General features: G+C 40.6%; 1 long non-coding RNA gene across 5 annotated transcripts in view; it reads right to left on the minus strand.

The window, feature by feature from the left end:
* Nucleotides 1-14,187, minus strand: part of LOC105376126 (uncharacterized) — a 103,060-nt gene that overhangs the window by 19,510 nt on the left and 69,363 nt on the right. For 3 of the 5 annotated variants that reach the window (XR_007061642.1, XR_001746813.2, XR_001746811.2), the window contains 2 exons: nt 8,647-8,818; nt 5,657-5,788 (listed from right to left, as the gene is read on the minus strand). This is a non-coding gene — a long non-coding RNA (uncharacterized LOC105376126). Of the gene's footprint in view, nt 1-4,411; nt 5,789-8,646; nt 8,819-14,187 lie in introns of those variants that run through there. The other 2 variants (XR_007061641.1, XR_001746814.2) reach the window with 2 other exon arrangements.

Consider the following 14,187-nt stretch of genomic DNA (forward strand, 5'->3'; position numbering starts at 1 on the left):
TTTACAATTTTGCCTATAACTTCTGCTTTCCTGAAATGCACCCCTGCCTTGAAGCCATCAAGGAGTTCAAGTCCTGAGTGTTAACTGTCCGATTCTCCTTGCTTGGTGTTTTGCGGTAAAAGGCTCACTTTCTCTCACCAGAAATCCTGGTGTCAGGTTTGGCTTTTTTGTGCACTGGGTGGAGTGAACCCAAGTTTGATTCAGCAACAATGATGTCCCCTAAACTATTAATGTTTTAGGATATAATTCTTGAAGGTGGCTAATGTATCTCTAAAGAGAAGGTGTCAGGAGCTTTGACTGAATAAAAGCACACTTGAGTTGGCATAAATGCAGCATTTTAGCAAAACATTTCTCCCCTCAGAAAACTAGCCATGATTATTAGGGTGTGAGGACATGCGTGAGAAAAACCACTTCATGGTGCTAAAAGCCCGTAATGAAATTCATAGCCCAGCGTGGAAACCTTGATATCGGTCTGATTGGGAGATGATTTGTATATTTGGCTAGAGCTCGAATGCCCAAATGATAAATAGCCATTGTGCCCAAAGTAGCCATCCCCAAAGTATGGCTCTGGACCAAGGCACACTGCAGAAGGAAGAACAGCCTGCCAAGGGTAATTAAAACCCTTTCCATAAAGAGTAGGGGCTTGGGGCTTCCCCGATTACCTCACTGTTGACCCACAGAGAACCCTAAGAGTTAACGTATCCCTTGAATCATTCTTTGTCTACCATCAAAAGAACCTTCAGATCACACTTATTTCTACCCTCCCCCACCCAGCAGGCCACAGTGCTTCTCTACTTACGTCGCACATGACAAAACCAAGAAATAGAAGTCTCTCCATTCCTGAATAACTTGGCACTGAAATCACATCTCATTCCAAAAAGTTTAGGATTAGCTAGAGGTTGCCAAATGAAAGACCAGCTTTGTTACATAGATGTACCATTGATGAGAAGTGGCAATGACCTCCCTAGACCAGACAGAAAGAAGGTTCCTTCCATTCTTGAGAGTTATTTACAAATGCTGAAAAAAAGTATACACCTTACAGCTTATGGTACACCCAAATCAGCATTTGAGGTGATTGCCATTGATTATCAGAGTACCCTGAAAAGATCATGTTATTTGTTTTTTCATTTTTCTCCCATTTACTGCTGAACTGTAGAAAAAATGGTCTTGAGTCAATATGATCAGTAGCAAGTAGTAGGAAAAAGAGATAAAACTTCTCAACAGAAAATGGAATAGATGTGACTATGATGTGAAACTACCTAAACACATTTTGAAACAAGGCAGATTTTTAAAAATAAAGTGAAAACTCAAAGTACTGTGAATGGTCTTCACACAAGTGTTGCCTCGCACTGTGCTTTCCCAATTCAGGATGATTTTCAAGTCTCTGTTGTGAAATGGACCAGGCAGTGCTTCTGCATGTGAATCTGCTGTGATCCCATTCTGTGCTTGATGCATGGCCTAAGGAAGGCCTCTCAGAAAGGGAATATTCTCCATAGAAACACCCGAGCAAAGGATGTGTGCTGTTTTTCTCATTTGCCAGCCCTTCCTCTTGATCTATTCTCAGCCTTTCTCTCTTGTAGCTCAACACCTGGGCTCCCCCGCCAGTGGCTTGCTCCTGGCTGGTTTCTGTTCAGACTTAGCCAATAGCAGGCACTGTTGGGAGCATGGAGGTTGGGAGAGGAGAGGGTCAGAGTCTTTCTTCCCTGGTTTGGTGCCGTGCCTTGGCAATATTAGCATCTCTCCGTGACTGCTGTTCCTGCTACATTAGCCTCCCCTTTCACAGTGCAGCTCTCAGTAGGCTCCAGTAGCACCACTTCTTCCCATGTCCTTCCTGGCCTAAGGGAGGTGGTAATGGCTTCCTGCTGTGATGAGCCTCTGGGTCTCTCAGCATCCCTTGCTTGTGCCGTTAGCCTTACATGCTCCTCTGAAAGTAATACCTTCCTTCAACTCTCTTTACTTGAACCACCTAGGTAAACTCTTGCTGGGACCATGGCTGTTATGTGAAGTTCGAATTGCCCTACCTGTGGGGCTGTGCTGGGGCTGTCAGCAGATGTGATGAAGATTGTAGCACTATCCCTACCATTTCCCTTCACATAGTAGCACCTTTGGATGAGCTTAGTTTTGTTATCTTGATTTTATGCTCTCATTCAGAAAACTGCAGAAGTCTGCAGAACTTTTGTAGTTGAGGGGAACATTATTAGCAGTTTCTCAATTAATAATGTCCTTGGGGATCAACATCATTTAAGTATTTACTGAATCACTAGCCCTGTTTTAGGAACCTTACAGTGTTTTGTGTAATTTTCTCAATCTATGGCAAAGAGATTTTAGTCCTCATTTTATTAGCCAAGAGCAGTAAAGTGAAATGCCCAGGCTCACGCATCTCAGGCCAGTGGCTAAGCAATGTCTCTCTGTCCTTGGAGACATTATAATCAGCTGTGGCTTAACCTAGTGCCTCAAGAATCCACACACACAAGCAGCTATTGAAAGAGACCAGAGAACACACCAAGCACTTGGGCCCCCAATTATGAGCCAGCATGCTGCCCTGGTGAACAGCAGGCACCTCAGAACTGGATGAAGCCTCACTAGAATGTTGTATGATTTGGTACCAGTTGACCCAGGTGAAGTCAAATTGGGGGACATTGCATTTAATAAACACCCCTCCTGAGCCTCTCTGGACTCCAACATTAGTGAGAAGGACAGAGGAAATTGTCCCAGTGTAAGATTTCTCCCGCCGCCCTCTGAAATATTTGAGCTTAGTCTGTCTGCAGTGAAGGCTGACAAGCTACATCCATTCTGGTGATTCTGAGGCAAACAATCGAGAACCACACATTGAAAACTGGTGCTCAAGACTGCCTACCCCACTAGCACAGAGCAAACATCTGTCTCTATCCCATCATACTCAAGTGCACAACCAGTGTGTCAGTCAATGTTTCTGAGTGAATGAAGAAGATGCAAAAGCACATCAACATCTGAGCTCCCTTTTGGAGGAGGCCTTAATCATATGAATTGGAATACTGTGCTCCTTCCCCGTGGCAGTGCTCTCAATAATTAAAAACATGGCATGCATTCTGCCCTTGAGCACGCTGGTCTGGTCTGTGGCCATTCCACGAGGCGTAGGGTGGATTCTGAGTGACACAAGTCAATGTTTTGAAAAGCATCATTCCTTCTTTCCAGAGTAGTCAATCCCTTCATGCAATGCTTTCAAATCAAAATACTTCATACCCTGTGCTTCATTCATTTATTCTCCAGTATTTAGTAAGTGTATTTAGTAGTGGCCTATTACGGGCCAGGTGCTTCATTAAGCATCAGGTGAACAGAATTAAACAAAGCCCCAGATAAATTTTACATGATTCCACTTTTATGAGGCACCTAGAGCAGTGAAATTCACAGAGACAGAAAGGAGAATGGTGGTTGCCAGGCAGTGGGGTGAGGGGAGAATGGGAAGTTCACGATGAATGGGATCAGAGTTTCAGTTTGAGATGATAGGAAAGTTCTGGAGCTGGATCACGGTGAATGTGAATGTAGTAAATGTCACTGAATTGTATATCTAAAAGGGTCAAAATGGTAAATTTTATACAGTGTATATTTTATCAAAAAAAAAAAACACAACAAAAACTGCATGGGGTTTTGAGATGATTACCTTACCATATGAGGTCAGGTTTATCATCTAAAATGAATTTTCATGAAAAAAACACAATATTAATAACAGGTGATTTGATTCTTTGATTCTTCAAAAAAAATTAAAAAGCTCCTGTGCTTCTGGAGCTTACAGACCATGGAAGCAGACAGCCAGCCACAATATCCTTTCACAAATAAGTGTGGCGTCACAACTGTAGTGAGCAAAGGGAAGACAATAGTGTCCAGAGAAGGTACTGGAGGGTGGAGGTGGTTTGACCCAGTGAGGTGAAGGCCCAGGAAAGGCTCTTCTGCAACAGAAACAAAGTTGCTGAAGGCACAAAGGATGAGAAGGTGAGACAGGGCAAAAGGCAGAAGGACACTTCAGGCCCTGGGACCAATGACTCAGGGCTACTATCAAAGCTGGCCGTGATGATGAAGGCGGCACACACAGGTGTATTAGGAAAAGACACTCCACACAGAAAACTGTCACAGATGCAGTGCGGTGTATTTGATCTTGTCAACCTCCCAAGGAACTTCCATGGTGTCCCACCATGACAGAACTGATCATTCTTTTCAGACAGCTAAGCTGGACAAAATATTTAATGCTTCTTCAAAGCAGGATGTGAGGATCTTGCTGAATTGCCAAAATTGCTCTACCTTTCCAAACAATTTTTAAATGACAAATAGGTGAGACAAGTAGGCATAAGAAAAACACTAAGAATTTGTTAATATTCTAACTGTGTTGTTGAAAGATGCAAAAAAAAAAAACAGTAAATTTAAGGGGACAGAAGAGGAGTATTTATATTTTTAATGGTTTTTAAATCAGTCAAGGAAACTGACATAAAAATTTCGATTTTACAGTACTATGTCCATACAATTATAAATAATGTTGTCTCTATTATGTTGGATATGGAGGATAATTGTACAGTTCTGTAGCAAAATATATACCTTTGTAATGTTCATACACAAATATATTGTGTTTTTAATGAAGACCAAAAATACTATAGGTTTCTGTTAGCTCAAACTATTTTATAATCTAGAAAATTAACAGAAGTTTTTTATATTGACAAATTTCCATTTAGAATATACATATTTTTACTTTCATTTTAGGTTCAGGGACACATGTGCAGATTTATTATATAGGTCAATGTGTGTTGCGGGGCTTCAGTGCACAGATTATTTCATCATCCAGGTAATAAGCAGAGTACCCAATAGGTAGTTTTTCAATCCTCACCCTCTACCCTCAAGTAGGCTCCAGTGTCTCTTGTTCCTTTCTTTGTGTCCATATGTAGAGTATACATTTTTTAAAGCATACAGAAGCATTCCGATAGATAATTTCCAGGTAAAATACTTCAAAATTCCCAGCTTCCACAAACCTTACTTTGAAAATAATCCACCATTCCTGAAAGTATTTAAAGCACTAAATTGAATAGAATCATGTTAGCAGCATTTGTCTTAGTTCTTGTCCAAGCCAAATGTCTTTCACTAAATCCTAGACTCAAAGAGCAACTCTCATTAAACATTAAAGACTGTGACATGTGGCATAGGGGAGTAAAAGGACCCTTTTAATTACCTTTCCAGTTTGCAAATTATTTTAAATGCATTACTCAATGAAACTAGATATTAAAAGGTCTGCTTTTTCTGTCAGTGCCCCATAATTTTGAACTATTCATTTTATTTGCGTGGGTAGTATGTCATGCACTACATTTCAAGCTGGATTTGGGAACCCATTCCATCATGCATGCATATGGAAGGTTCAGAGAAAGATCTGAAATGAAATGGAGATCACATTTCTCCCAGCCACACTGGCTATACATGAAGCCAGTTAAAACTCTGTCATACCCCTGGGTACAGTTTGGCTTATTCATTATTTTTCATTTATAAGGCAAACCTGCTGCTTGAAAAAAGTCTCAAGGTTAATTACAACATTTCTCTTTTGACACAAACAACTCGATTGCAAATCTGATTTGATGGGTATGTCTTTTGTTGTAAGATGGGACTCAGGAAAAAGACACAGTTTGTATGCAAGAGTCTATACCTGCGGTGGGTTTGTCCTTCCAGTTCTAGTCAGAGTGAAATCTCCAGGAGGGTCTCTACCCAGGTCACCCAATCGCAGTAGCTCCAGACCCTTGCTGCTCCTCAGTCGGATAGTTTCTTATCTGTTTGCTACCTAAAGCACCGAAACACAGAAGGGTACTGTATTCCTTTGCTAAAGCTGCCATGACAAAGCTCTAGATAAACTGCGGGATTTAAACAATAGAAATGCATTCATTGCCTTTCAGTGCGGGAGGCTCAAAGTCTAAGATTAAGATATTGGCAGGGTTGGTTTCTTTTGAGGGTGGTGTGGGAAGGATCCGTCCCCTGCCTCTCTCAAAGATTCTAGCAGTTTGCTGGCAATTTTTGGTGTTCCTTGGCTTTAAAGAATCACCCCAGTGAGGCATAGTGGCTCATGCCTGTAACAACAGCACTTTGGGAGGCCGAGGCAGGAGGATCACTTGAGCTCAGGAGTTCAAGTCCAGCCTGGGCAACATAGGAAGACCTTATCCAAAAAAAAAAAAAAAAAATTAGCCAGGCATGGTGGCATGCACCTGTAGACTCAGTTACTTGGGATGCTGAGGCAGGAGGATCACTTCAGCCTAAGAGGTCAAGGCTGCAGTTAGCAGTGATTGTGCCACTGCACTCCAGACTGGGTGACAGAGAGAGACCCCATTCCTGTGTGTGTGTCTCTCCATCCGAATTTTCCCAGATAAGGACAGCAGTCATTACTGGATTAGAGGCCTGCTCTACTCCAGCATGACTGCATCTTAACCTAATTAATTACATCTTCAAAGGTGCTATTCCCAAATAAGGTCACATTCTAAAGTACTGGAGGCTAAGACTTCAACATATGAGTTTGGAGGAGGGGACACAATTCAACTCACACCAGGTACCATATATTTTCTATGGATACATAAACTGTAGGTGAATATATAAAACTTCTGGAATGATATATGCTCAACTGTTGACATTGCTTGCCTCTTAGAATGAGTGTGCAGTAGACTAGGGTAGGGGTGGAAGCAGACGGAATTTAACTGCACCTGTAAAAATCTTCATCTTTTAAAAGGAGGCGACAATTGTGCATTGCTTATTTAAGTAAAACTTTACCTAAGTAAATTGAGGTTTTGCAGTGATTCCCAATAGAAACACTACCAATTGCCAAGATACATTTTCTAAACTTGCGGGAGGGTTTGTTGGTTGAGGCAATGCTTTGGGGCATGGCTATCAGTGAATGGGTAGAAAATGGGGTGCTGGATGTCCTGAAAATGCAGGGACACTTGCCCACATGAGAGAATCGTTCTGTGTCCTGCTACACATTTACATATAAAAACAAATGGGCTGGGTTGGCATGATTTTAATATATATTGGATTTTTCAGGAATGCAACCTTTGTGTCTATAAGTTATGGGAAGATTGTACTTTATTTGGGTCAGAACTTTCCTGTGAGTTTTCACCTTACTGGAAAATTATGTCACCAACAGCAGCACCCCTCTCCATATTTGAGCCACCCATCGAACATGCTAAAGGCCTTTGGTGGGCTGCATTTGCAGCTGTCACATTTCTGACAATTTTCCACAGAGGTGCAGCAACCAATCACTTAATTCTGTCATGCCGAGTCTTCATGTCCTGAAACATGTATTATTATGTTATAAACTTCTATTTTAATTGTATTTTTCTTTTACATCAAAGTTGGGGCTCTAAATGAATTTTTAAAATACATGTGCAAGTAGATTACATCACTTACAAATTTCATTTCAGGGCAGTAAAGGGGATTTTATAAAATATTTCTTATGAAAAGGGAGAATTTATTCTCATAATACTGACCACTAACAGGTGCCTCTGATCATCCAAGGAAGAAATGCAGAAGATCCAAGCTAAAGCTTTGGCAATGGAGGAAAGAAACTGTATTCAAGAGATACTTTAGAAGTAAAAATCAAAAGGCTGTGATTAAGAAGGGACTGTCAAAATGCCCCTGAGATTTTTAACCTATGAGACGAGGAGGATCGTGGAACCTTTAACTGAAACATGCAAATATGAGGAAGAGAATGCCAGAGTCAGCAAGGGACCGCTCAGTAAGGCACCCATGAGGCAACGGGGCGATGTCCACAAGATATTAAATGACAGATACACGGGTTTAGTGATCAAGAGATCTCGGGCTGGGGGGGAACTGCCAATCACTGTGGGAGGCTTGGAAATGGGGAGTGTGTCGAAGAAGATGGGGAAAGCCAAGAACAAAACCTGTGGAACACCCCGAAGGGCACACAGCAATGAGGAAGGGCACGGAGCAGACCTCTCACTTTTCCATTTTATCTCCCTGTGGGGCTGGAAGCATCTCAAAATAAAAAGCAAAAAACAAATAAACAACAACATCCAAATGTTGTGACTTCAATTGCCTTGGTATTCCCCACGTTGCCCAGCAGGGCCCTGGGTTCCCTGTCAGCCTTTAACAACACTGGTCAGCTGGTATCCCACAGCCCTTTTCCTTCCTGGAACCTTCAGGAAAGGGAAAGAACATTCCTGCTGTCACTGGGCTTTGCCAAGCAGAGATGTCTTCTAGTCTGTGGGAAGATTTCTCCTGAAACTCAGGGAGTGTTCAAGGCTCAGAGTTCACTGGCAGGCAGAGAGGAAATCATCTTCACCTGACCAGAGTTAGGGCTGTGCTAAGCAGTGGCTATCACACTCAGAAAATGCATTTGCAAAGTAGGGAACTGGTGACGTGTCACTTGTGAGATAGGCCATCTTCCTCTGTATTGGATAAACCATAGCTAAATTTAACAGCAGAGGAAGTGCCATTTCCAAAGACCTCATTCAGCCAGAATCCAGGAGAAACGCCACACACATTCTCCCAAAGCCCAGACTCCGTACCCCAGGGACCCTCCCTCTCCTGAGTGTGACGTTGCAACCTCAGGGACGCTCCCTCTGGCTTCCTCCCACATCCCACTGCCTGACAGAACGTACAACATGGAATAGATCTGTCACCAAGGGCACATACCTGTGGTCACATAAACACATAAACACTTTCACTAGCAGCCACGTTCTCAAGCGCTGGCTCTGACAGGCAGCCACCAGGCAGCCAGGGGAGACACCAATGAAAATCCACTGTGGCGCTGCCTCCACTGTCCACTCCAGCAGGAAAGGGGTTCCAGATGTGTCCTCTGCTGAACCTGTAACAAAGTCAGACTGTCATAAATCGGACCCCAAGCACAGGTCGCCTGCCTTCACAATCTCTCTGGACACTGTAAAAAGGCTCTGCATGGCTATGTACAGTTTCAGCACAAAGGTGACAATTTATTTTGAGTTTACAGGTCCTGTTTTCGTTTTGTTGCTTGGAAATAACGTTGCCTCTGTGTGTGTGTGTGTGCATGCACATGCATGTGCATGCATACATAAAGGGACAGGGTAACAAAAGACATAAGGGAATAGAACAGGTAATTTTGTTTTTGTTACAGAAAGGTTTCTGGTATTTTGGACAAACTATAATGATAATGGCATCCTACATCAACCCAGGAAATTCAGTAAACGTCAAAGACCAATATCCTATCCTTATTTAATCTTTATTGTAAGTAAATATCTCAGAAATGTGAGAACACACCTGGCACAGTCGCTCATACCTGTAATCCCAGCACTTTGGAAGGCCAAGGAGGTGGTGGGTGGATCACCTGAGGTCAGGAGTTTGAGACCAGCCTAACCAATATAATGAAACCCTGTCTCTACTAAAAATGTAGAAAATTAGCTGGGCATGGTGGCACATGCCTATAATCCCAGCTACTTTGGAGGCTGAGGCAGGAGAATTGCTTGAAACTGGAAGGTGGAGGTTGCAGTGAGCAGAGATCGCACAATTGCACTCCAGTCTGGACAACAAGAGTGAAACTCTGTCTCAAAAAAAAAAAGAAAACAAAAGAAAAAGAAATAAAGAAATGTGAGAACAGGGGACATTACTCAATATTGTTTTAGATTTATATTAATAAGTATTCAACTGGAATAGCTTTAATTCTAAATTTCCAAGTTTTATGAGTTTTTAACCTTTGAAATCTCTATACTTTGATAGCTTTATCTCTCCTTTGTTCACTGGGATAATGGCTTAAAAATCTCACTTGAAAGTAGAATTTAAATGGTAAAATATCATGACAACCTGAGAAAGGAAAACAATAAATAATGTCTGGAATTCTCCATAAATACGCAGCTTTAGCTGGGGGCTCTGAACCTAAACATCTCTGCTCAGAATTGATCATTCTCCAGAATTATTGCAAAGTAAGCAGAAGGCTTTAAATCAGTCCCTCCACCGAGCAGCAGTTGAGGAGCCCCTAGATCCTGAGAGAGGTTACCCTGGTCATTTACAATCTCTTCAGAGCCACTGAAGAATATAAGAAGAGTCATTCTCGGCTGAGTGATCTTGAGGAGGATACTTAACCCTCAGGTCCTCAGTTACTTCCTTTGTAAAGTGGAAGATTAGACCAGACCCTTACAGCTCAGATTTTCAGTTTAATTTTTAAAGACCTAAGCCAGATTAAAATTCATCACTCAATTTGTAGGCTTTGGGGTCTCTACACTAGTTTATAATCCTAAAGACATTGACACCTTCTGTAGGATCAGGCCATTTGCCCTGTGCCACCGGCTTGTAATACCTACCCCAGTGCCTCAAAGGGGATACTCAAAAGAAAAAGATCCTTATATTCTGGGAGAGTGAGATGCACCAACTAAAATAGGGAGTATGAGCTGTTCCAGACATTTCCACTCACCTTCTGCCTGCCAGTGTTGTCTACCAAGAATTCCCCATAATTCAACTGCAAAAGGCATTGTCTTAGTCCAGTTTGCATTGCTATATAGGAATATCTCAGACTGGGTAATTTATAAAGAAAAGAAACATTTGGATCACAGTTCTGCAGCCCGTACAAGAAGCATGGCACCAGCATCTACTTCTGGTGAAGCCTCAGGAAGCTTACAGTCATGGTGGAAAATGAAGAGGCAGCAGGCTTACATGGCAAATGAAGGGTAAGAGAGAGAGAGAATGAGGTGCCAGGCTCTTTCAAACAACCAGTTCTCACATGAGCTAATAGAGCAAAAACTTACTCATTACCATGAGGATAGCACCAAGACATTCATTAGCGAATTGCCCCCATGATCCAAACACCTCCTGCTAGGCCCACCTCCAGTGGTAGAGGTTACATTTCAACATGAGATTTGGAGGGGGCAAAACATCCAAACCATATCAAGCATCCGTGTTCCCTTTGGTCAGAGAAGAGAGATTTGCTCACAGTTGTTAATTGTATGTTTTACTCTAGACATAACGTTTCTCCCTAAAGACTGAACTTAATTTTAAGTTTGCTTGGTCCACCAGTAGATTTTCCTATGTGCTAGCCTTATCCTTTAAGCTTAGAGAAGAATTTCATCATTGCATTAAACATTGTGATCCAATTAATCTAAACAGTGAACATCAAATCATACTAAAAATGTACCCATTAGTCAAACATATGATCATTTCTTTTTAAAAACAATTGCTTTAATTACACAGTTAACTATGAGCTCATTTCTGATTGTAAGAAATTGAAGTAATGTAGATTCAAGTAAAGTCACTCTAAAAATATTCCCTCCGGCCCCATTCTTTTACTAGGTATAATACCTGTAATGAATTTAGTGTGTATCCACTCAACCCTTTTTGTATGTATGATGAAAATACATAAATAAAAAATTTGTGTCAAGTCTGTATTTTTACATAAGTAGAATAATCTTTTACTTTGTGAATGCTTTTAATTAACAAGAAGTCTTTAGATATTTCCATCAGTGTAGATATAGATTTCTTGCATTGAAATATTGTTGCATAATATTCCATAATATGGATTGTGAAAGTTTTAATTATTGCCCTACTAGTGGAAATTCAGAGGTTTTTGAAAAAAATTATTCTATAAAATACCACAGGGAACAGTTTTTTGCATGCCTTCTTGCACACATGTGGCTGTGTTTCTTTTGGGTAGATACCAAGAAGTGAGATTGTTGGCTCAAAGAATATGTGCAATTTTAAAAGGTTTGGCAAAATGCCCTACAAAAAAAGGCAAGAAAGAGTTAAACCCTGACCAGAAATTTAATTTAGAGAAGAGAGTTACTTTTTTTCTATGCCCTTATCAATACGTAATGTTATTTAATTTTGGAGTATTTCCCAATCTAAGAGATGGAAAATCAAAGCTCATCTTAATTTGCATTTCCTTGATTACTAGTGAAGTTGTGCATTTTTAAATACATTTATTTGTTATTTCCAGTTCATCTTCTGTGCGTTATCTATTCATATCTTTTTTCCTGATAGACTTTTTCTTATCAAACTATAGACATTCTTCATATGTTGTTATATTCATCTTTTTCTACTACATATATTAAAACTAGTTTCTCCCAGTTTGATGACAGTTATTTGACTTTTTCTATGGGATCTTTAGCTAAAGAAGATTTTTCTTCTCTTCTTTAAATTTTCTGTATATGAAGCTCCAGACGCACAGATACATTTGCGTAAATCTTAGCCCATAGGTCCACTGGCCCTCCCTTATCTGTGGTTTCCTGTTCCAAGGTTTCACTTACTCTTGGCCAACCATGATCCAAAAATATGAAAACATTTTTAGAGAGAGAGAAAGAGACCACATTCACATAACTTTTATTACAGTCTCTTGTTAAAATTGTTCTATTTTATTATTAGTTATTGTTGCTAATCTTTTACTGTGCCTAATTTATAAATTAAACTTTTTCCGAGGTGTGTATGTATAGGAAAAAACAGAGTACTGTATTTATAAGGTTCCATTCTATTGGAAGTTTCAGGTATCCATTGGGGGTCTTGGAACGTATCTCTCGCAGATAAGAAGGAACTATTTTACTTTTTGAAGTTGAGCCCTTTTTAATTTGTCCTTTCTTTCATTTGTCTCAGTTCTTTCTCTTTTGCTGACTTTGGCTCACATTAGTCTCCTGCCCTCCCTACCTCCTCTCCAGCTATATGGAAAGTAAAAGGAAAACCACGGAAAAATTGAAAAAGTAAAAATGGAAAAACAAATACCAGGTAAATACTACCAACTCAGAGAAAGTTGTTACAGATACATTACTATCAGACAACATCAAATTTAAATGTAAAGTATTATTAGGAATAATGGGGTCACCACATAATGATAACTGATTCAATTCACCAAAAAGGCATTCTAAACTTTATGCACCCACTAACGAAGCCTTATAATACACAGAGCAAAATCTTACCAGACTTATGGTTTGGATCTGTGTCTCACACCAACCCTCATGTTGAATAGTAGTCCCCAGCATTGGAGGTGGCACCTGGTGGGAGGTGACTGGATCATGGAGGCTGAGTTCTCATGAGTAGGTTAACAGTATCCCCTTGGTGCTATTATCATGATAGTGAGTGCATGAATTCTCATGAGATCTGGTTGTTTAAAAGTGTGTAGCGCCTCCCCTCTCTCTTGCTTCTGCCCCTGTCATGTAATATGCCTGCTCCCACCTTGCCTTCCCTCCATGAGTAAAAAGCTCCCTGAGGCCTCCCCAGAAGCAGATGCTACCATGCTTCCTGTACAGCCTGTGAACTGTGAGCCAATTAAAGATCTTTCTTTATAAATTACCCAGTCTCAGGTATTTCTTTATAGCAAATGTGAGAACGAACTAATACAACAGATTAAAAAGAAAAATTGCCTTCTCCAGAAAATTGTCTTTTCTACTGTTTTCCTCACTACAGAGTTGATTTTCATAACACTAGCAAAATAGAGTGAGAATGAGGTTTAAGATATGTGAGAAGAAGAACAGGTACCTAAAAATATATTTTACTAATAAGATAAATTATATCCATTTTTCTTGAAAAACAATGTCAATCAAGAGGATCAAAAAAGATCATTTTGTTTATGAAAGAATAAGAGAAATAAAAGTAGATTTAGAGGGAAGATGCTTGAAGGAAGTAAGAAACCAAACTTTCAAGGAAAATTCCTGAAGATTTTTTTGCTGGGTTTGGCAGTTTGTATGTGTTTTGCATTTTAATTACAAAGTAAAGTGTTTTCAACACTTGGTTAGGGAATCATTCATAATTGGGACCTTCCTGACCACAGTCAGCAAACCTTCATTCACCTCCAGGAGGTTTGGCAAATCAGAACAGGGTCTATCTGCCAGGGCGCTGTGGTCCTCGTCAAATACAGCAGCCTCACTATTGGCACAGTGGCACACTTTTGCTTAAGAGGTGGCCTCAGCTACCAGAGGCTGAGACTAAAATATCTCTCAGGCTGGTGGGAAAGCGGGTAAGTTCATAGCACAGACACTGGCCTGTGTGGAAAGTGTTCACTTGGAGCAAGTCTGGATGAGGCTTGTGGAAAGAAGAGAAGTTTATGTGATCCCACATCACAAGCAGAAAAACTGCTGTTAAACATTCAGCTAGTGACTCTCATACCTTTCCCACTGTGAAATGTGGGGTCAAAAGTATATATGCCGCTGAAGATTACTCTGCACAAAGATTTATGCAAAAGAGAAAGGAATGTATGTATTTAAAATAAAAAGAACCAAGAGCTTGTTT

The sequence above is a fragment of the Homo sapiens genome, chromosome 9 (assembly GCF_000001405.40).
Source record: "Homo sapiens chromosome 9, GRCh38.p14 Primary Assembly".
In the NCBI taxonomy this organism is placed as follows: domain Eukaryota; kingdom Metazoa; phylum Chordata; class Mammalia; order Primates; family Hominidae; genus Homo; species Homo sapiens.